General features: G+C 39.4%; 1 long non-coding RNA gene across 1 annotated transcript, besides 1 other annotated feature; it reads left to right on the top strand.

Moving 5' to 3' along the window:
- Nucleotides 1-18,502: 18,502 nt before the first annotated feature.
- On the top strand, nt 18,503-20,127 carry LOC107986203 (uncharacterized). The gene is made up of 3 exons (XR_001741464.1): nt 18,503-18,771; nt 19,360-19,569; nt 19,972-20,127. It is a non-coding gene; the product is annotated as an uncharacterized LOC107986203 (long non-coding RNA).
- Nucleotides 19,894-21,093: an enhancer, noted in NCBI's record as "MED14-independent group 3 enhancer chr4:174617544-174618743 (GRCh37/hg19 assembly coordinates)". NCBI's record gives its function as "activates an origin of replication core promoter dependent on BRD2, BRD4, P300/CBP and CDK7 cofactors, and independent of MED14, by STARR-seq in HCT116 cells {active_cell/tissue: HCT116}" and the evidence as "EXISTENCE:reporter gene assay evidence [ECO:0000049][PMID:35650434]".

Below are 24,177 nucleotides of genomic sequence, written 5' to 3'. Positions count from 1 at the left end.
AATGGACCAATCAGCTCTCTGTAAAATGGACCAATCAACTCTCTGTAAAATGGACCAATCAACAGGATGTGGGTGGGGCCAGATAAGGGAATAAAAGCAGGCCACCTGAGCCAGCAGCAGCAACCCACTCTGGTCACCTTCCAGACTGTAGAAGCTTTGTTCTTTCACTCTTTGCAATAAACCTTGTTGCTGTTCATTCTTTGGGTCTGCGCTGCCTTTATGAGCTGTAACACTCACCATGAAGGTCTGCAGCTTCACTCCTGAAGTCAGCGAGACCACGAACCCACCAGAAGGAAGAAATTCCAGATGCATCTGGACATCTAAAGGAAAAAACTCCAGACACACCATCTTTAAGAACTGTAACACTCACCACGAGTGTCCGCGGCTTCATTCTTGAAGTCAGCGAGACCAAGAACCCACCAATTCTGGACACATTTGTACATAATTTCATAGTTCTCAGAGGTTTTGTTAATTCTTTTTCATTTATCTTTTTCTAATCTTGCCTGCCTGTCTTATTTCAGCAAGACAGACTTCAGCTCTGAGATTGTCTCCTCTGCATGATCTATTCAGCTATTGATACTTGTTTTTCAGTTTCATCAGGTCATTTATGTTTCTCTCTAAACTGGTTATTCTGATTAACAGCTCCTGTAATGTTTTACCATGGTTCTTAGCTTCTTTGCATTGGGTTAGAACATACTCCTCTAGCTCAGCAAAGTTCATTATTATCCATCTTCTGAAGCCTACTTCTGTCAACTTACTCATCTCAGCCTCAGCCCAGTTCAGTGCCCTTGCTGAAAAGGTGTGATCATTTGGAGAAGAGGCACTCTGGCTTTTTGAATTTTCAGTGTTTTTGTGTTGATTTTTTTCTCATTTTTTCTCATTGAAGGTTTACTTACCTTCGATCTTTGAGGCTCCTGACCTTTGAATGGGGTTTTTGTGAGGTCTTTTTTGTTGATGTTGTTGCTGTTGTGGCCCTCTGTTTGTTTTTCTTTTAACAGTCAGGTCTCTCTTCTGCAGGGTTGCAGGGCTGCTGCAGTTTGCTGGGGATCCACTCCAGACCCTATTTGCCTGGGTCCCTCCTGCACCTGGAAGTATCACCAGTAGAGGTTGCAGAACAGCAAAGATAGCTGCGTGCTCCTTCTTCTGGAAGCTCCATCCCAGAGGGGCACTGACCTGATGCCTGCTGGAACTCTCCTGCATGAGGTGTCTGGTTACCCCTGTTGGGGGTCTCACCCAGTCAGGAAGCACAGGATCAGAGACCTGCTTAACAAAGCACTCTTTCTGCCCCTTGACAGAGTGGGTGCACTGTGCTTGGGGAAATACCACTCATCTAGACTACCCCGCCTCCTCAGAGCCAGAAGGTGGGAAAGATTAAGTCTGCTGAACTGGAGACCACAGCCACCCAGCCCATCAGGGACTCCATCCCAGGGAGATCAGAATTCTCTCCATAAACCCCTGGCTGGAGTTGCTGAAATTCCCATGGGGCGGCCCCACTTGGTGAGGAAGGATGGATCCAGGTCCCACCTAAAGAGGCAGTCTGGCCACAATCTACCACAGCTGCTGTGCTGCACTTTGGGGAATTCCTCCCACTAAAAACCGCCCAGCCTCCCCCCAACCAGGAGGGGAAAATGGCTGACTGGAGCTGCAGTGATGGCAGCCGCCCCTCCCCACTAGTAACTCGGTCATCTTAGGCTGTCTCCAGCCTGCTGTGGCTGGCCACAAGGAAAGTGGTCATGAAGAGTCTGCACAGTTCTGTGCTTGGGACCGAAGGCCCTGGTGGTGTGGGCTCAGGAGGGGATCTCCTGATCCACGGGTTTCACAGATCCATGCAAAAGCATGGTTTCCCTGGCAAGGTAGCACAATCACTCACCACCTCCCTTGGCTGGGGGTGGGTGGGAGCTCCCGTTTCCCTGTGAAGCTCCTAATTGGGCCATCGCTCCACCCTGCTTTTCCTCACTCTCCTTGGCTCACAGCAACTGCCTAGTCAGTCCCATTGAGAGAACCTGGATACCTCAGCTGAAGGTGCAGGATTTACTTGCTGTTTTCGTTCTTCTAGGTTAAGGCTGCAGACCAGAGCTGCTACTTATCAACCATATTGGCCCCTCCCCACTAAAGCTTTTTAATGAACCTTCACTCCTGCTTTCCAAAACTTGCCTTGTTCTCTCACTCTGCCTTATGCTCCTCATTGAGTTCTTTCTCCTGAGGAAGCAAGAATTGAGGTTGCTGCAGACCCATATGGATTCACCGCTGGTAACATTTTTGGCCAAATACGTAAACCAGCAAGCTGATAATTATGCTAGTTTGCCAATCATAACAAAAATGTATTGTTACAACCCTGGCTTAGGTACAGAGGTTTCAATGATTCCCAGGAAATGGCGAATGAAAGGTCAAGACATCAGTGAGTGAAAGAGGTTTTTTTTTTTTTTTTATATGAATGTGCAACTGTTAATGAATGAAGCTGTATCCCCCAGTTCCTAGGAAAGGTAACAATTCTATCAATTAGGTGAAAGCCTCTTTCAAGTATATATTCATTTTCAGGTATCTATTATAAGCCTTAGCATTAATCCAAACATCAACAGCAGTGTTTTAATCATGGTGTGCTGATACATACTTCCCAAAATAGTTATAATAAAGAGAATAAAGGCAGAAAATCGGACATGATCTGCTGGTGGGGAAAGCCAAAATAAAATAAGCTTCCAAGTAAAATGAAGGCTGCCATGGCTTTGAAGCAACATAAATAAAAACCACTGGCTACAGAGCCTTTTTCTGCAGAAGACAGAAAGCAGTCATATGGCCAAACAAATTAAGGCGCAATGGATCGGCCAAAACAGTCTTCATTCAGCACTAGAGTGGTTTCTGCCAAACAAAAGGTATGTGGAACGTGACTCAGTTTGGCTTATTGCAAGCTTTAGTGAAAAATTATAATTTGTGATAAAGAATGCCAAATGGGCAGTTTTGTGACGTAAATGATACATTAGGGAAATAAGGAGAACATGAACAAATAATTGAAATTGTTAGAATCCAAGCATTTAAAGGGTGAATCAAGGCAGTAATCTTTCACTAACTTCACACATTTTGCTTTTCTCCAAGTTGGAGCCACTTAAGAAATTCCAGTTAGCCAATGTGATTAAGAAATAAAGTGTCACTCTGTGATTTGGTTTGGTTTGTTTGTTTGTTTCTGGGGTCTGGGGTGGCATTGCAAATCACTGCTCCCTCAGCTACATCCTCAAGATAGTCCTAACTAAATAAAGGCCTTTGGTAATTACAGAAGTGTTTATTTTCAGCAGTGCCTGTACCTTTTCCTTTAGTTAAATCATCTGTAGAGGTCTCATTCTTTAGTCTAGACCGTGCTATGTTTTAAACAAATTGCAGTACCTACATTTGAGAGGACCTTGATTATCCTTTGCATTTAGGAGTCCCTAGCCACACTTCAGGCTCCCAAGCTACCTTTGAAGGGAAATTTATGTTTTTTAAGTACAATTTGGCATACAGAAACCTCAAGAGGAGATTGTAAACAGAGACTAGATAGAGGTAATTCAAGTATTTCACTCTGACAACAACCAACACATAGTCATGTGAGTCCTGAAAGACTCAACATTATTAAGAAACCCTATTGGGTGCAGTCCCCCAAGCCCACCTCAAAGGGCTCAGACTACCAATACACACACACTGTTTATAGGGTTTATGACTCTTCCTTACACTCAGGCACTAAAACATTCAGAAAGCATACCAATGGTGTGGCTCAAATTCTCTTTTTTACATTTGACAAGTGAATTCTGGAATATCAGGTTGACCCAGCAATGTAACTTCTAAAAATAGAAAGATATTAAAACTAATTTATAAGCTTGTAAAGATATATTTCTTTTCATTTAATTATAAATAATGCTTTCAGCAGATTATTTTTACCAAAATTAATAGAAATAACTTGTCACTAGAGAAAAAGTAAAACCTGCCTCCATTGTATTTAAATTCCTCTTCCAGAGGCCCTCTAACAGAAGTTAAGGTGTTTGGTTTATCCTACTACTTTGGGGTAAGATGCTTCTTTTTCAATTTCATTGGGAAATTCTGTTAGAAAAGGGCATTATGCTTCTCTCTCTCTCTCTTTCTCTCTGTGTTCTACATTTTTAAAAAGATGTAAAATCAGGTCTCCACAGTCCAAATAAAATGAAGTATTATAGCAATTATCCAGGTCATTCAGGGGAAAACAGCGTGTTAGAGGTGATTTGGGAAACGTTTTCTTTTTGCTTGAATTACGTACAGGATTGCTTAAATTACTTTAGCACTTTGGCATATTATTTGCTTTGGAGTCATTGTACAGTTAGTCTAAGGCCAAAAATATCATATTGAAAATCATTCTTATGTCCTTTTACATACATGCCATTTATAAACTTAAAAAACTTAGCCAGTTAAACACTTTAAACACACATGCATACGCAGATACGTATATTTCCCATAGAAGTTTGAGCTTTTCTCTATAGATTTCTATTCACCCTCATAATTATTTATAATGAATTGTAGTGTTTTGCATATTGTTTCCTCAGATGGTTTCTAGTCAGTAATTAAAGGAAGGAACTTTCACTCCATCTAAATTTCCAGCTAGGAACTGATGGCTTCTCCTACCACAACAATTCCCAAATTAAAGTTGAGAGTTTACAGAATAGAAATTTCTGGTTTAAGGAATATTCTGGCATTATAATGCTCAGTCTGATTAGAATTTACATAGCAAAAAAAATTAGTTGATTCAACATATTTGCTCACTTCTTTACTATTTAGGATTTATGCAATGCCACGGACTCAGAATCATTTAATTCAGCTCTGCTAACTGGTTGTTAGTTCCATATTGTACTTTCTTCTTCTAGTATATTGTATCACTGTAGTATAATGTAGTATAATGATAGCTGTCATTAAGTAGCAGCAGGACCACTGGCACAATATCAAGTTGAGAGAAGAAAAGAAAACCTTTTGTATATGAGTCACAAAATTATTTCACTTATAAAAGTTACTTGGTTCTAAACCACAAATGTCCAACAATAATAAATAGGAGAACAAATTTTACAATATGGTGTTATAAGAAAAACAAAAGTGTCCAAGGATGTCATCTCTCTACTATTAGGTCGGTGCAAAAGTGAATCCAATTTTTGCTGTTACTTTTAATGGTAAAAAACATGATCACTTTTGCACCAACCTAATAAATATTCATAAATGTTAAACACTAAATATAAAAGCAATATGTGAATATTATGAAAATTTTAGAAAGTATAAAAGATATTTGGAGGATGTAAAAATCAGCGCTATTTCACTACTCAGAGAAAACCACTGTAAATATTTTGGTGGAAGTCTTTTCAGTTTTTTTCTATGTATGTAGGTGGGCTATGTGTGTTATGCATAATTCATATAATGTGTGATTTATTCTATAACCTACTTTTTCTTCTTAGTATACAATGAGCATTTATCTTTGTTGTGAAATAGTCTTCAAAAACAAGTAATCACATCACATAAATATACCATAACTTATTTAACCAATTCCCTACCACTGTATTTGTAAGCTGTTTCTAATTTTTCTACCTTTACAAATACTGCTGCAATAAATATTTTAGTATCTGGCTCAGAATATTTCCTTAGGATACACTCCTAGATGCAGAATTACTCTTAAAAAGCATATGCATACTTTAAGGCTTTTGATAGACTGCCAAAATTCAGTCTAGAAAAGTTGTTCTAATTTACATTCCCACCAATATTTTTGAGGGTGCACATATACTAATCTTTTAAAATTATTGCCACTCTAAAATATTAAAATTGGTATTTCATTTTAGTTAGTATTTACTTGATTACTGCTACTAAAGTTCAGCGTGTGTTCCGAATGAACTTCCTTGGTGACTGGCCTTTTTATATCTTTTGTCATGTTTCCGCTGGGGTAAAAAAAAAAATGTTAAGTAAATTCCATTTATTTATTTATTTATTTACCTATTTATTTTTGAGACAGGGTCTCACTCTGTTGCCCAAGCTGGAGGGCAGTGGTGCAATCACAGCTCACTGTAGCCTCCACCCCCTGGACTCAAGTGATCCTCCTGCCTCAGCCTCCTGAGTATCTGGTACTACAGGCATGCATCACCACACCCAGCTAATTTTTTATGTTTTGTAGAGACAAAGTCTTGCTGTATTGCTCAGGCTGCTCTTAAATACTTGGCCTCATGAGGACCTCCAACCTCAGCCTCCCAAAGTGCTAGGATTACAGGCATGAGCTGCCACGTCCAACCTAAATTTCTTCTTAATACCTCCTAAAATATGAGACGAAAGCACAATTCAAGAGATCTTACCTCTTCTGACTCAAAAGGGAAATAGTGGATCCCAGCTTTATTACTTGCAATATTACAAAACTAAGGTAATTACAAGTCTAGGGTATTGGAATATTTCACAGAAACAATGTTTTTAAATAATCATCAAGCTAGATCTTGTTGTTATTCTGCAACTCTGTATACTTTGTATTCCACATCTCCACTTGAATGTTTAATAGGAATCTCAAACTTAAAATGTACAAACAGAACCCCTGATTCCTCACCCCTGCCCTGGCATACTCCTCTTCCAGTCTCAGTAAACCGTTCCTTTCACTGAGTTGATCAGGCCCAAGAAGAGGAGTCATCTTAATATAACCCTTTCCCTCCCATCTCATCCCCCACTTATCAGCAAATCCTTTTGGCTCAAACTTCAAAACATCACAAATCTGACCACCTCCTACCCCTTCCACAGCTGTCTTAGTTAAATCCACCATCAGCTCGACTCCTGCTTTCCTTGTTTCTAATCTTGCCCTCCTAAAATTCTACTCTTCCCATAATGGCAAGGTGGCCTCTTTAGACATAAATCAAATCATTATCACTGTCCTTTACTCAACCTTCCAAAGTTTTCCCAACACTCTCAGGATGAGTGATTAGTATTAGTTATTATTTGAGTGAATTTTGCTCTGCTTTCTCACACAGTTCTCATTGGCAGCTTCATTTTGTGTTAAGTGTGAAAATATGGCCGACTGCCTTGGCTCATGCCTGTAATCCTAGCACTTTGGGAAGCCAAGATGGAAGGATAGCTTGAGCCCAGGAGTTTGAGACCAGCCTGAGCAACATGACGAGACCCTGCACAAAAAAAAACAAAAGTAAAAGTAAGCAAGGGCAGGGTAGCACATGCCTGTGGTCCTAGCTCCTCAGCAGGCTGAGGTGGGAGGACCGCTTGAGCCTGGGAGGTTGAGGCTGCAGAGAGCCATGTCTGTGCCACTGCACTCCACCCTGGGCAACAGAGGGAGACACTTTTGTGATGAAGAATGCCAAATGGGCAGACCCCAAATGGGCCCCAGATAATTTGTTTCCTCTCCAACTCTATCTCCTAGCACTTTCTCCTTGCTCATTCCAGGCACACAGGTCACCTGGCTACTCCTTGAAAACACCATGCTCAATCCCCTTCTCAGGATTTTGTACATTTCTGTTCTATGGCCTAGAACTTGGCATGGGTTCTTCCTCCACTTCATGTAAGTCTTTGCTCTAATGATGCCTCCTCAGAGATGCATCCCCTGACAACTCTCTGAAATATCATTCCTGCCATGACTCTCAGCCCCTTTATTCTGATTCACATATATTTGAAGCATTTATTACCACCTGATACCATGTGTGTGTATGTGTGTGTGTGTGTGTGTGTGTGTGTGTGTGTGTAATGTAGACTCCATGAGGGCTTGGCTTTCTTTGTTTTGTTTACCCATATCTTCAGCTCTTAGAATAATAGTGCATATTCAATAAAAATGTGTTCTTCCCTCCACTTCCATTGACCCTAAAACCTATGCTAGAATCAAGCTGATCCATAGAAAGAGGGCTGTATTATTTTCTATTACATTCTATATGTTTTCCTCAGTTTCTTCCAAAAAGACTTACTCACACTATTTGACAAAATAAGTGCTGGTCATTGGTACAAAAAGGGAGCACAACTCATCATACAGTCCATTTCCCTGGTTTAGCTAGATAATATGTTATTAAGCTCCTTTCACAGAACAGTCAGAGGAATCCCAAAACCTTGTGGCTAATTTTCAGTTGTATTTGAGTTCACAAATGATGATTACTCAGTGATAAGGAGAATTGGGCAAGCCTATTTGTTGTTGATTTTTAACTAGTGTATAATATTATACTATTTTACTTTAAGACACTAATATAATATTTGTAAAGATGTAGGCTTGGCTGGGTGAGGTGGCTCACGCCTGTAATCCCAGCACTTTGGGAGGCCGAGGCGGGCGGATCACAAGGTCAGGAGATCAGAACCGTCCTGGCTAACACGGTGAAACCCCGTCTCTACTAAAAATACAAAAAATTAGCCGGGTGTGGTGGTGGGCGCCTGTAGTCCCAGTTACTCGGGAGGCCGAGGAAGGAGAATGGCGTGAACCCGGGAGGTGGAGCTTGCAGTGAGCCGAGATCACGCCACTGCACTCCAGCCTGGCCCACAGAGCGAGACTCCGTCTCAAAAAAAAAAAGATCTAGGCTTATTTCAAACTATTGAGGGGGAAAATACTGACTTGGTTACTCCATTAGCTATAGCTAATTGAAAAAGGAAAATGTACAAACTCTACAAAGTTATTTTTTTCTTTTATACTTTTCTTAATTCTTTTCCCCATGTGTGACTAATATCTACATAAAGCTCATACCAGAACCCTGAACTCTGAGAGTTGTTTGAAATAGGCAGTTTCTATTCAGACAAGATTTGACTGGCAGAGGCAGCACTCCCTCTCCCACATTCTGTAGAAGACTCTACTAATGGCACACCAAGGGAGAGTCAGGGACAGAGCTAATGCTCACTGACAGAGACATACACCTAAATCCATTCACTACTGGTAAAACTAACAAACACGCTGAGCACAGGAATCACTGGAGCTGGTTTTTAACACATACATAATTCAAGAAGCCATATCTGCACCCTGATGTTCACTGTGACATTATTCACAATAGCCAAGATATGGAATCAACCTAAGTGTCCATCAACAGATGAATGAAGAAAGAAAATGTGGTACATATACACAATGGAATACTATTCAGCCTCAAAACTGCAGGAAATTCTGTCATTTGCAACAACATGGATGAATGTGGAGGATATTATGGTAAGTGAAATAAACCAGGCACAGAAAGATAAATACTGTGTTATCTCACTTATAGTGGAATCTAACAAAGGCAAACTCATAGAAGCAGAGAGTAGAATGGAGGTTACCAGGGGTTGTGAGGAAAAAATGGGGATTGGGAGATGTTGGTGAAAGGACACAAAGTTTCAGTTAGACAGGAGTAATTCAAGAGATTTATTGCACAACATGGTGACTACAGTTAGAAACAATGTATTATATACTTGAAAAATACTGAGAGTAGGTTTTAAGTGTTCTCAACACAAAAAAGTATATGAGGTTATGCATATGTTCATCAGCTCAATTTAGCCATTCCATAATGTAAACATATTTTGAAACATCATGTTATACACCATAAATATATATAATTTTGCCCATTTAAAAAAATAAATAAATTTTTTAAAAGAAACCGTAAGTAGGATTTAGTCCTGGCTGTGACATAAATGTCTGTCTTCACACAGAAAAGAAAATTCTAGTCTTTTGAAGACTCAGCATTTTTATTTTGAAACTTAGAGACCTCACTCTATTCTTTGGTTCCTTAATGTTCATATTCTTCCTGGATATGTGAGTGGGAAAGTTTGTCCTGCATACTTGCCTGGCTCCTGCTGAGCATCGCAGCCCTCCAAAGATGGCAGACATTCACCTTCTCTCTGCAAGCACCCACCCTAGGAGGCCATGTTCCTATTCTATCTGAGCACTGAAGTCTTATGAAGCAAACTTGGTTTTTTCAGAAAGCCACCTACTCGCTAATGAGTGGTGACACACTTAAGCAATCAATCACTATATCTGGTAGTTCCTCGCCAGTTCAGTGGTGAAGGCAGTGGGTGCTGTCATTGTTTTCTTTGTGCACCCTCTGAATACAGAGGCTACCCACCAGCCTAACTAATGAACTACGGTTTTCTCATCCACACACAACCACTGGCTGGTTCCTATTTATTATGAAAATCCCCCTTTCTTGGGTTTACATCTGCCTACAAGTCTAAGAAGCTATTGAGCTTCCTCATCTTAGGCAAACTCACTGGAATGTGGACTCTTCACATTATTTTTAGCTGCTGGTCTGACTTTCCTGTTAGAAAATAACTTACTTCTAAGATAAAGGCAATTAAGTAAAAGTAAGTAATAGTTATTTTTTAAGTTTTTTATTCTTCTACTTTGTTTTTCCCTTTCACTGAGATTGTTACGAACAAGAGAATATTGGTCTCTGGGAGTTCTGAAATCAGAAATACTTTTACGTTTTTTCTCTGATATTATCAAATTCTAAATTTATACTAAAATTAAGGAGAAGGTGCAATTTTCTTCTCAAGATTTGTTTTTCATATCATTGCAATAAAATATGTAATTTTCTATGGAAAATAACTTGACATGATTTTACATTGCAACAAAATGAATGTTTAATGAACAGAGTACAGAATTCATTTGAATATTTAAAATAAAACACCAGCCTCCAAGAACATTACAATTGTTTCAAGCTCAAGACCTACAGTCTAATTAATTTTTTCTCTGGGTGGATTTTTCTTTTTCTCTCCTCCTCCCACACCATCTCCAGCTTCTACTCAAGTATCTAGGGCACTCTATGCTCAGCACCAGAGGTGTGAGGTATCACAGGGCTGAAATCAGAAGCACAGGCTTCTCAATGGATTTGGTGTGTAAGAGTTGAAGTCCTGGGAGAACAAAAGGAACTCAGGGCATAGATGAATATTGGGAGAGAATTTCCATGGCAGAAATTTCAGTTTAAGGGAGTAGTATTTCTTCCTGAAATAAGGTTTTTTTTTTTTGCTGTTTGTTTGTTTTTTACAGTCTAGCCTAATGGAAAAAGAGATATAGTCTCTGAGACAGCAGAGAGGTGGTCATGGGACGAGAACCGATTGTCTCAGCAGCAACCTGGAACCTGTGTTAGGGGCTAGAATGTCCCTACCTCCTCATGCCTCTGCCCTAAGCTCCCAGAACTCATATGCAGCCATAGAGAACAGAGGCACCTACATTTAATCGGATTAAATTTCCCTCACCCTGATGGGAAAAGGGGGAGAAGGTAGCAAGTAGTGATCAAAATTAGAGGAAAATAAAGTTATAGTCTTTGACTACCTCGATGTGAAGACTGTTATTACTACCGATATGTTCACTGATTAAACTATAAAAATATACCTTACGACATTAAAGAAGTTTTTTCTACTATATGCTTAGGACCAGGTGGTATACAGCCAGGGACAATGTGAACAGAATTCCTGCTCTCAAATAACTCATAGCATATTTTTTTTCTTTTTTTAAGATGGAGTCTCACTCTGTTGCCCAGGCTGGAGTGCAGTGGCACGATCTCAGCTCACTGCAAGCTCCGCCTCTGGGTTCAAGCAATTCTCCTGTCTCAGCCTCCCGAGTACCTAGGACTATAGGCACATGCCACCCCACTTGGCTAATTTTTGTATTTGTAGTAGAGACGAGGTTTCACCATATTGGTCAGACGTCTCAAACTCCTGACCTCAGGTGATCCACCCACCTTGGCCTCTCAAAGTTCTGGGATTACAGGCATGAGCCACCACACCCAGCCCTCATCACATATTGAAGACACCTGGCATATATACCAAGAGTTTAAAAATGGATAGAAATTAGCTAATCAACAGGGGGTGTGGGGCATTCCTATCAGACATGTGGCGTAAGAACAGTGCACAGAAGATGTGAGCATGGCAGTTCCACAGTGAGTGAATAAGACTTTGTCTTAGTCTGTTCAGGCTACTATAATAACCAAATGCCTTAGACTGGATCATTTACAAATAACAGAAAATTATTTCTTACCATTCTGGAGGCTGGGAAGTTCACGATCAAGACACCAGCAGATTCGGTATCTGCTCCTCCTAGACAGTGCCTTCTTGCTGCATCCTCGTGTGAAGGGAGCAGGAAACAAGCTCCCTCAGGCCCCTTTCATAAGGGCACTAATCCCATTCATGAGGGCTCCACTCTCATGACTCATCACCTCCCCATCACCTCTCCTCTTAAGTCCATCTCATTGGGGATTAGATTTCGACATATGAATTTCTATTCTGTCATAAAGACTCATATGTTCATTGCAGCACTATTAACAATAGCAAAGATGTGGAATCAATCTAGGTGCACATCAACTGGGGATTTGATAAAGAAAAGGTGGTACATATCCACCACGGAATACTATGCAACCATAAAAAGAATGAAATCCTGCCCTATACAGCAACATGAGTGCACCTGGAGGCTGTTATCCTAAGCAAACTAAAGTAAGAAAGGAAAACCAAATACTTCATATTGTCACTTATAAGTGGGAGCTAAACATTGAATACACATAATTGTACAGATGGGAACAACAGACACTGGGGATCACTAGACGGGAGGGAGGGAGGGGAGCATGGGCTGAAGAATCACCTGGTGGGTTCTATGCTTATGGTCTGGGTGGTGAGATCACTGGGACCCCAAGCCTCAGCATCATGCAATCTAACCATGTAACAAATCTGCATGTGTACCCTTCAATCTATAATAGAAGTTGAATTGAAAAATACATATGAATTGCAGTGGAGCACAAACATTCCCCTCAAAATGCAGATTTCTTAAATTTTTCTAAGATCATTAAGAATTGGAGTTTTCAAACTATTTAATAGTATACACTTTTAAGCAGACAAAAACAATGTAGATGAGGCGAAGATAATTGCCCCAGCTCCCCAAGTCCTCTGACGCACCTGGACAGAAATGCTGGGGCTCTGCAGACCCATTTGGGACAATCTATAATTTTGCCCACCGAGTGCATATTCCACATGAGGAAACTAAGGCACAGTGCTGCGAAGTGACTTCTCAAGATATTCCTGGCCCTACCACACGCTGGCCCGACGCTCAGCCCTCCCTGATATCCAGCGTTTATCCTCTCACTTCTCCTATAAAAAGACTGGGCTTTTTTCCCATTCAAGGCAAAACACCAGAAATCCTGGGTGTTTTGGAAAGAGAAGAAACGTAACTCCCAGTCATCCTCAGCTACTTAAATGAAAGCAGGATTGGCAGGAAAATGTATAAATGAAAAATGCCAAAACGCTAACTTCAAATTAAGTTGTAGGTTCCAAGAGCCTCTCAACCTGACTCTTAAAAGAATTGCTAGCAAAACCACATCCTATCATTCGATTTGCCAGGCTTATGATGGCAGCAGTACAAGCAATAAAATCATGAGAGGGTATGCAAAGAAAAGAAGGATTAATACGAAAATCCAACAGCCTGGTTCTGGATAATTGGGAGTTGACCATAAACACCTCGGCTGTCACACAGCAACTTTGGTCCTTGGATAAAAATATTTTATTGGCAAATTGTTTCATTTTAGGAAAATTATATCTGCTTTCAACAACTGGAGGTTAGTTTCTCAAAATGATTTTCAGGGTGGTAAAGGAATGTGAATAATGATAAGGCACAGCAGAGAGTACACAGTCTCTGCTTGGCCCAGGGCTCTGTACTCGTGGCATTGAATACATAATTTTTAAAGTTTGTTTTAGTTATTCTGTGAAGAATCTCCTACTCCATCGCCTGCCCCAAGAATGAAATTCCGTAGTACGCTTCTTTTCCTTCATTAAAGTAAAGTTTCTGCGAAAGGGCAGTCACATATTTAAACCAAACTAAACTATTAAAATATCGAACAGTGCACACTTGACATTCTCAAAAGCTCCGTTTCCAAAATCCTCACTAATGCTCAAATTGTGGGGTGTTATTTGATGATAAAAGCAAATTTAGAATTGGCTTGTAAATGTGTTTTGTTGGGTGTTCAGAAGACTGACCTTAAAAGGGGAAGGGGGTTTCGTGTAAAAATCTGGATTTCTGGATTCTTTCAAAATTGGAAGACATGGCAAAGTAGCCCACATTCCTACCTGGCGTCCATGAGCTGGAGCTCTGTAAGGCTTCTGCTCCTAAATGGTTACAGGCCCACCAGTTCAACCCATTCTCTACCTACACCACTCCACTCATTTGCAGTTGCTTCCTGGACCCGTTAGACATTTGAGTTTGTAACCCTGGCATGAGAATATATAGTTATTCACTTAAAATGTACAGTCATCATGAGTAGCAAACAAAGCTGGTTTGAGTTGTTGACACTGGCATTTAAGTAGATTCACTCACCAGCTTCTGACTGCAAATCCATATCCACATGGTGGCTGCATAACACACAATTCAAATTCGTGTTTTAGTGAAATTCAACGTTATTTTATTTGGGTTGCTTTCATATTTCTAAACTGCACGTCTTAAATCTGTGAATGGCAAGAATCTTCTGTGTGCTATAAAAATTTCAGGAAGACAGATGGATGTAGGGATTTTTTCATTTTATTTTAGATTCAAGGGGTACATGTGCAAGTTTGTTACATGGACATATTGCATGATGCTGAGGTTTGGGCTTCAGTTGAGCCCCTCACCCAAATAGTGAACATCGTACCCAATAGGTGGTTTTTCCACCCTTGCCCATCTCCCTCTTCTTTTTTGGAGTCCTCAGTGTTTATTGTTCCTATCTGTAGGCCCATATATACCCAGTATTTGGCTTCCACTTATAAGTGAAAACATGTGGTATTTGGTTTCTTGTTTCTATATTGATTCACTTAGAATAATGGCCTCCAGCTGCATCCATGCTGCCGCAGAGGACATCATTTTGTTTTTTTTTTTTTTATGACTATGTAGTATCCCATGGTGTATATGCACCACATTTTCTTGGGATACAGGTTCGAAAAGATTGATTTTAGAAATGTATCAAAGGAAAGTGGAAATTTTCATTGAATCCTATTAGAAATGCTATATTCTGTAGCAGTCGCTGTCAAAGTATTCTTCCCCACCAGTGGCATCAACATCTCCTGGACACTTCTCACAAATGCAGATTCTTAAGCAGCACCCCAGGCCTACCCATTAGAAAGTGGGGATGGGGCCCAGCAATCTATTTCAACAAGCCTTAACAGGGATCCTGACACACACTGAAGTTTGAGAAACCCTGGCCCAGAGCTTTACTACTAGTTTTACTACTAGGACATTCTGAGTGGAGATATTGATCTCCTCAGTCCTCAGGGGCAGAACCAGACCTGGAGTATTCAGAGCCCCCAAGACACAGACGCTAGCATCATGCCATTTCATCTGGGATTGGCACCTTGTATGTTCCCAATTTGTCCCCAGAGACAGTAAGCAGGATGGGCATCATCCAGCGCTTTATCATTCCTCAGTACAAGGAAAGATGTTCTAGCACATGCATGTCCACTTCACGGCGAGCAGCTGTTCTGAACAAGGGCCAGGGAGCTGATGAAGCTTGTATCCCATGTACTAAAGTTGCAGGGCAGAGAGCTCAGTGCAGAGAGCCCAAGAGCTGGTCAGGGGTGGGAACTAGAAAGTCAGGGAAGGACGGCACGGCAGGGGCTCTGGGAAAGCGCAACAGTTTGGGGGTGCAGGGTGGGTCCTGACTCTGAGTCTTCATGTAGGTTGAATTCCTACGCCGGTTGGTAGCCAGTGGTCAATCTAGTGTTGTCCACGCTAGTTTCATGAGGACTCCTTCAACAACACATACACATTCCCAAAGTTAGAGTTTCATGAGTTTGAAATACTTCATATAAAAAGGTTCCATTTGATTTGGAATTCATAAGAAATGTTCAAAGAAAGGAAACGAAGTTTATTAGAGACATTAAAATATTATTTCAGTTCATATATTTTTTGATTAGATGACAAATTATTTTGAATTAAGTTTCTCATCAACAAGAAACATTAAAAAAATTTTTTCATCTACAAGTCTTGAGCAAATCTTTCATGCAGTCATTTCAAGTGTTAAACCCGATAAACTAAAGCAAGCACAAATTTCTCATTAAAGCATCTGCAAATATTTTATTTGGGAGAGCTTTACAAATTCAGTCTTTAATATCTGCCCTTTCTTTGTGTTTTATTTTTCTTATAATTATGCAAAGTTAATGAAATAAATTTTTCACCAAAATCCATATAGTTGCACCCAAAGTCCATGCAGCATGTCCCCAGAATATGATGCAAATATTATTTTTGTGACACTTCATGCCATGCCATGGAATCAGCACATTCTTTGAAGTATTGACTCAAACCTAAGGTGCATCAATTGCCTGACGGTATGCAGCCCTGATGGGTGAGACTCTGTCAAAGGGACTGTGTCCCCAGTAGAGTTAAATCCTCTTGTATCTTTAATCTGGGCTTCATAAATTCTAAGAATCGATGAAATTTTGATAAGGCAAAATGGTCTGTGAAGCTGTTTCTTTTACTATCAGATCATTTAGAAAAATATACAGAAAACACCTCTTCCCAAACAGTGGTTCTTAACACTTCGAGGTTAGGGTGGACCGAGAATCTGAATAAAGATTGGAAAGAAGAGTATTCTAATGAAATTTCAAGGACCTTGTGGACTTCACAGATAGTCACGTCTGTCCACTTAGCAACGCTATCTCCTGATAACATGAGTAGAGATGATAGGGCCCAAACCTTTGTCTCCCACACCAAATGTTTCTGAACAAAGTTTGTAATTATGATATCTCACACATGATAGGCCAGAAGGACTTTCACATACACAGACTCTCTTGATTCTCACACAGCCCTGAGGGGTGTACAAAAGGTTTCATCAGCCTACATTTTTTTATAGGAGAAGAAACTCAAGGTCACTGCTAACATTACCCTGCTTTTTCATCACTTCTTGTAAAACCCGTAAAGCCAATACAAAAACAGACATTTTTTGCATTAGAGCAGAATTACTCTGGGTCTTACTTTTTTATTATACATTATTTTCAACAAGGCTATGATCCTTTCATTATTGTTTTGTTTGCACATTTTAGTCAGTTCTCCTAGAATATAGCTCCTCGCACAGTGGATCTGATTTGCTTGTACTTAACCTATGCTTTAGAATCTTCGTTGTGATTTTTTTCCTAACAATAACTTGACAATCAGAGTAGTAGATGCAACAAAAGAAGGAATAATAAATTCAGTAGGGCCACTTAATGTTGTTGAAAATGCAACATCAACCTCAGACATCTACCAGCCTCCACTATAGGCATACAGTCACAACCACCACCATAGCCAAAAGGGACATTTGATTGCTTCAAAGACAGATAGTTTATTGTGTGATGTTATACTATTTCCTTTGTGGTTATCTAATAGAGCTATTCCGGCAAATTTCAAAACAGGCTCTCTTTTCATTATTATCTGAGACACAATAGTTTTTTAATGTATGAACACATCAGTAATGGGTAGCAATGTTTCTAAATAATTAGCTTTTCTTGAAATAACTAAGCAGTCAACACTGAGGAAAATCATTGAAATAAAAGAATCCATCCAGTAAAACTTTACTGCTGCTCACAATTTTGTGAAAATATGTCATTAGGCTGCAACACATAAATTCAGGGATTTCAAGAAGCAATTTTTCACTGGCGCCTTCTCTGGGAAACCCATCTCCCTATTTATCATCCATTTCCTGCTCCCTTTAACCTTCTACATACTATGGAAACTTTTCCATAATATGGTGTTACATATTTGCCATCCTTTTGAGGGATTTAAATTTATCCTTTAAAGGGATCTTTATATTTTAAGAGAGAATTCTGTAAAATCAAACTTGAATATTCAAAGGAATGATTATTTAATACTGGAATTTCAGGCACTGTCAGGCAGTGGTAGAGAACTTCGCAGGCAAGAGGACCTTCACAGCAGTCTATGTAAATGATTCCTACTGATAAAATGAAACCTAAGTCCCAAACTGCTTGGAAGACATCGAGACCACACAGCACAATGGACATGATTAAAGGACAGCATGAGGTTTTGCAAAGGGAGAACATTCCATTCCTTTCCTTTCCTTTCCTTTCTTTAAACTATAAAAGTCTGAACCTCATGAGGTAAATGTATTTCCAATGGCTAGACTAGACAATGCAATCAAAACGCAACCTTGCATCTCTTTAGGAAGCATATGGAGGAAGATCCTGTGCCCAAAATGACTTTCTAGGTAAACCCTGCTGGGTGCTTATGTGTTCAAGTCCCAGCTCGGTTGCTTATTTGAATGAGTTTCTTAGCAGCTCTGTGCCTCAGTTTCCAAATCTGTGACGTGATGATGATAACAGTACCTACCTCCTAGAGTGAGTGCAAGGATTAAGTTAGTACCTGTTAGTGCTCAGCTTGTAGAAGCCTTCAGCAGATGTTACCTGTGTTTGTTGTTCTTAACCACCCTGTGTGTCTGCTGCTGCCATCCTGCCAACTGAACTTCCTGGCAAGATCCCTCAAAGAAGGACCTTGAGGTCATGATGGGTGAGATCACACTGGCCTCTCCGCACTGGGCTGGCGTCCACAGCAGCCATCCCCAGGGAGCCTTGCCAGATTTTTCTGCCACTATCTCTAATACCACCACCCTGAGTGACACCCCCACTGTAGATGCCGCCAGCACTCCGCCACAGCTGACACCTCGGGGGCTCTCTCCCAGAGTAGAAATGACCCCTCACCTTCTCTGCTTTGGAAAGAAAAAGAGAAAAAAAATAAACCTGCATGCATGCAGATCACACACCTGGATTCCATTATCTCTCTGACTTCCAGCCCAGGGAACCAAGGAAGCCCAGAATCTTTGAGTCACATCCTCTTCCTCTTCTCTGCGGAACCCAGTGGGGCTCTCTCACCAGGAGGAGGGGGTTGAGGTAAGAGGCTTGGGTCAGCTCGGAACCCTGAGCAGTGCATGTCCTCCCTGCCTGGAGGGGAGCACAAGCACACGGCCGCAGACTTAGAGCTGTTATCCTATGGGAAAGTTTTCCATTTCCAAATGCGTGTCCATGCCCCAAACCCCAACTTAGACTCAATTGTACAACCCTTCAGCTGGGGCAAAATCCTCTTGGCACCCAGATGATCAATTAAAAACCGTGAAAAGAAATCTCTCCTTGCCAGGGGCAGATTTGAATTTCAGGCCTGGCAAGGTTGCCTGTGCAATGAACCCTGAATGTGTAGTGTGAGAGAAAATTTGAAATTTATTCCATAATTTACTTAGCAGAACTTTTTATTATGGTTTACCTTAGCTAACAATAAAAATAATTTGCTTAGCCTGAAACATGCAGCCTGTCATCATGCTCTCTCTTTTTCTCCACCTCAAATTTGGCCTCAAATTGCTGGTTCCTTGAACACACCACATTCTCTCTGACCTCTGAGACTTTGCAAGTGCTCTTCCCTCTGTCTGAGAATCTTCTCAATTTGCAACATACACATTCCCTTAACTTGTCCCTCTCATCCTTCAGGTTTCAGATTAAACGCCACCCACCACGTCTACCCTCTAATGCCTTTCCTGGCTCCATAAAGTAGGTCAGATCACTTTGCTCTTTTTCCCCGTAACATCTTGTGCCTTCACTGATGTCAACTTTCAACACAATCTATCGTAAGCCCTTGTACCATGTCTGCAAATTTGGAAAGATGAGGATGGTGTCAACTCTTACACCTGGTGGCACATAGTAGGTGCTCCAAAAATTTTTTCAATAAATGATTGAGTGAATAAGAAGGCACTTTTGGATTAACATTTGCTTAAAACATACATAATATGCAGAAGTAGAAGGTAGATTATGTCTGCATGAACTTCATTGTATATAACCTATACACTGCACGCTAGAAAACTGTTACTAGGAACTTAACAGCCTTGTGGTGAAGTAGAAAACTGCCTTAATCATCTAATCATCATTTGCTAGGCTGTTGAATAATGGGTATTGGTAAGTTACACTATTGCAATACAAATCAGTTACCTTTCTTTAAATGGAGGCTTTGCCTGTATAATGCAGTATTAAAAAAAATAGGTAAAGTTACTCTCTAGATTGAGCGGGTCACTTTAATCTACAAACAACAATTTCTCCTTCCATTAGTTGCAGAGAACAGCATGGGTGACACACTTCACTGGACAAAAAATGGAAGGGCATGACTGAACCTTTATTGGAACAAAATATGGGCTCAGCCAGCTGCGGTGGCTCATGCCTGTAATCCCAACAGTTTGGGAGGCCCAGTCAGGTGGATCACCTGAGGTCAAGAGTTTGAGACCAGCCTGACCAACATGACAAAGCCCCATCTCTACTAAAAATACAAAATTAGCTGGGCATGTTGGCACATGCCTGTAATCCAGCTACTCCGGAGGCTGAGGCAGGAGAAACGCTTGAACTCGGGAGGCGGAGGTTGCGGTGAGCCAAGATCGTGCCACTTCACTCCAGCCTGGGCAACAGGAGTGAAACTCCATCTCAAAAAAAAAAAAAAAAAAATGTGTTCAAGGACCTTCACCCAGGAATGCAAACTTTCTCCTGCTGCTTCCTATGGATACTATTTAAAATCAAATGAAGGGGGCTTTTTTCCTATTATATATAGACTGAATCTATAAAAGGCTATGAAACACCCACCAGAAGGACAACCCAAAAGAAATTTAACAACAAGTACAGATCTACAAGGAAAAGCCTTTGTAATGTTTTCCAAGGCACCACAATTTTTGAACATTACATGCAGGAAAATATTATATGGAAGAAATGTCACTTTACAAGCCTTCAGATGAGGCCTTTTCTATTTTAATGAGTGTCATATATGAGGAAATGTTTGATATAACAGCATTTCACTGAACTGTATTGTTGGTATAAACTGCAGTTACTTTGGACTTTCAGCTTTAATCTTGTGAGAAATAGATTTCTAAATACCTTTGGCAAGATGTTCAAGGTCTATTTCTTTCCCAGTGTGGATTTTAATTCAAAAGATCCAGCCATGCTCACATTTGTGGTATTCCTCAGGTTCACTAAAGGTAAACAAATTAACAAAATATTGAATGAATGGTAAAGATGTTTCCGTTCAATTATTCTTAAACACGGAAAATGGGGTACACATGAATTTGCTCAGTTTTAAATTACCCTTATCATTTAAAAACCACCTGGATGGGTTCAAGAAGTAATGTGAGGCTGAGAAAAATATGAATTAATGAAGAACACATTTTGGTGATAGGCCTATAAATAAAAATTGTTTCTATGAGTATAGTTGGCACCCACAGATTGAACAGTAATGCAGGCAGACACAGCTTTCTACTGTCTTTTTATGTAAAAATTGGTTGGTTTCTGCTTTCTTTGCTATGCTAATAAATGCCAGGGAAAGTGTTAGCTGCATTTTAACTTTTTGTTTACATAGTTGCACACATACTGAGCAAGTTCCCACGGAATACAGCTTACCACACCTACTTAAGGGGTTCAAACTCACACAATTAATCACGCCTTTAAAAAAATGATTTGGTTTCCCACATTCGAGATAATAGGCCTTTGTTATTTTTAACAATTTTGGCATATGAGATATGTAACAACTGCTTGAATATAACAGCGTAGGCTTTGTTACAATCAATCGTTCAATTTAATAGGTCTGGATAGTAAAAGACTGCTGATTCTTCTAGATGGGAAGACATTTCTCCCGGGAAGAATGCAGAATAAAAAAACCCAAAAGCAAATTTCTTTGAATTTTCAACAGGAGAAGCCTACTTACATTGGTTTATTCAAACCAAAGCATCTTTTTCAGATTGGAAAACTGAAGGCATCAAATTAAAAAGAAAATACTAAACAGTTGGAGTGTGAAGCAATAGCCCCACTTCCTAAAAACAGCAACCAAAGACCTCTTTAAAATGTAGCAGTAGTAGAGAGAAGGCTAACAGAAAGTCACCTCATCTATAGTCAATGTGCTTTCACATTTTCTCCCATCTGATGTCCCTCATGATAACCCATGAGGAAGGTGAGGCCAGCCCCGACACCGAGAGGCTGGGAGCAAGACTCCAAATGGAAGCACAGGTGTCTAGATATTTATATTTTACACAAGCTAACAACCTGTTTTTAAAAATATTTGGCTGGGCTCAGTGGCTCACGCCTGTAATCCCAGCACTTTGGGAGGCTGAGATGTGAGGCTCACCTGAGGTCAGGAGTTTGAGAGCAGCCTGGCCAACATAGTGAAACCCCATCTCTACTAAAAATACAAAAATTAGCCGGGCGTGGCGGTGGCGCATGCCTGCAATCCCAGCTACTCATGAGGCTGAGGCAAAAGAATCACTTGAACTCAGGAGGCAGAGGTTGCATGAGCTGAGATTGAGCCACTGCACTCCAGCCTGAGTGAAAGTGAGACTTTTTCTCAAAATAGTAATAATAATAATAATAATAAAAGATATTTAATATGTTCTAATTGAAATGTTTCTAAGACAAAGAAATGATAAATCCTTGAGGTGATGGAGACCTAATTAACCTGATGTGATTATTATAATTGCATGCCTGTATCAGAACATCACATGTACCTAATGAATATAAACACTTATTATGTCCTCAAAATAATTAACTTTTTTTCAAAATTGAAAAATATATGTAAAGCTACAGTTTATAGATAACTGAAAGTTGACAAAATAGCAAAGAAAACTGAATTTAACTTTTATTGTGTATATCTGGGTGTTTATAAAGAGAACTGAAAACAGCAGTATTGTTCAATTTGTCCTAATCTCTCTTCAGTTGAAATGATAACCTGCGTTCTAATGGCCAAAAAAAATAGTCTATTAAATTTAGTTTGGAGACTATTTGTACATGAATCTTTTCCTGTAGAGCCAATGAAACATTTTCATTTCTCCTTGTAATTTCCATGTATTTCAATGGAATGTTGCATATATCACGTGCAGTTTCTTGCAATTTAGAAAAAGCATTTTTTCTAAAGGTATTTATTTAGTTATTTAGTTATTTATTTTAATCCTTTTGAAAATGAAGTAGCCACACACATTTGGAGTGGAGATGGTCATTATCTTTTGTTAATATTATTATGAGCAAGCAACATGGATAGTACATATTCATAATTAAATTCATAATTCATTTTCTAATAAAAACCACAATTTGCTTTTTATTTGAAGAATGTCTCAGTGTGACTTTTGAAATATTTACTTTTTATATGTTTTTCCCCCACTTTCTTATCCAATAAGTTAATGATCTAATTTGAATTCTCCATCCCAGATAGAAGTCGTATTTTTCATTATTTTTAATTCATAACTACATTTTCAGCCATTCTATTAACAAATTGGAAATTATCTCTACTGAATCTAAAAAGCTTTTATTTTTTAAAATAAATATTAATGCTACAATAAGCCTCATTGTGTGTTTTTCCAAATATTATACACATATTATCTTTCAATATTATTTTAAGAACATTATAACAGTATTTTGTATTTTGTTCTATATTTACTTCTTTGCCAAAAAAATCAATTGTTTGTCATTTACTCAGTCTTTTAATTTTCAGTTCTAATATTTGCTAATGTTATATGCATGTAACATTTCACATTCTTTTAATTAACAATGTGTTTCCAGTGACAAGTATCTTCATTCGCCAAAACCAATCATGAACATTGGTTGAGAAATGCATAACAGTAGTGACAAGATACTTTGCCTTTGAACTTAGAATAGAATAACTTCTTTCCCAATTTGAAAGAATTTGGGTTGAAAATGAAATATAAATGTGCTGCCATGTTTATCTAATGGAAAAATTTATTCATTGATTTGAATCAGATTTTGCTTTGCTAGAAACAGTCTCACTCATGTCAGGATATGACAGCCGTTTTTCCAGAATCATCATCCAATAAACAGAGTAAAGTTCCAGGGGTTCTGACTTTCTTATCCAGTTTTCAGATTTTATGAATGTAGTTTTCTTCAATTTCTAATGAGCTGGCCAAAGGTATATTTACCATCTCTGAAGTATGACTTTGTTAGGATTAACTATCTCTTGCATTCTCATTGTTTTGGCCAGTGGTTACACCTTCATTTAATGAAGAATTTGACATTGCAGGGTTGCATCTAAGCCAGTTCTAGTTGTGAATTTCATAAGAATAATATTTTTGCTCATTTTCATTAAATCTTCTTTAAATAAAGAGTTTGTAATGTCCTGCTTGCAAATTTTATATAGGTCACGCTCTACAAAAGTCTGCTCACTTTTCAGCTTCCAGGTATTTAAATTTGAAGCATTAGTTTTAAATGTTTTTGCTTTTTTGCTTTTAAGATCCACTTTGGTATTTTATATTTATATCATGATTTCCAAGTGAACAC

Source organism: Homo sapiens, chromosome 4 (assembly GCF_000001405.40).
Source record: "Homo sapiens chromosome 4, GRCh38.p14 Primary Assembly".
In the NCBI taxonomy this organism is placed as follows: Eukaryota; Metazoa; Chordata; class Mammalia; order Primates; family Hominidae; genus Homo; species Homo sapiens.
This window is presented reverse-complemented; position numbering and strand designations above follow the sequence as displayed.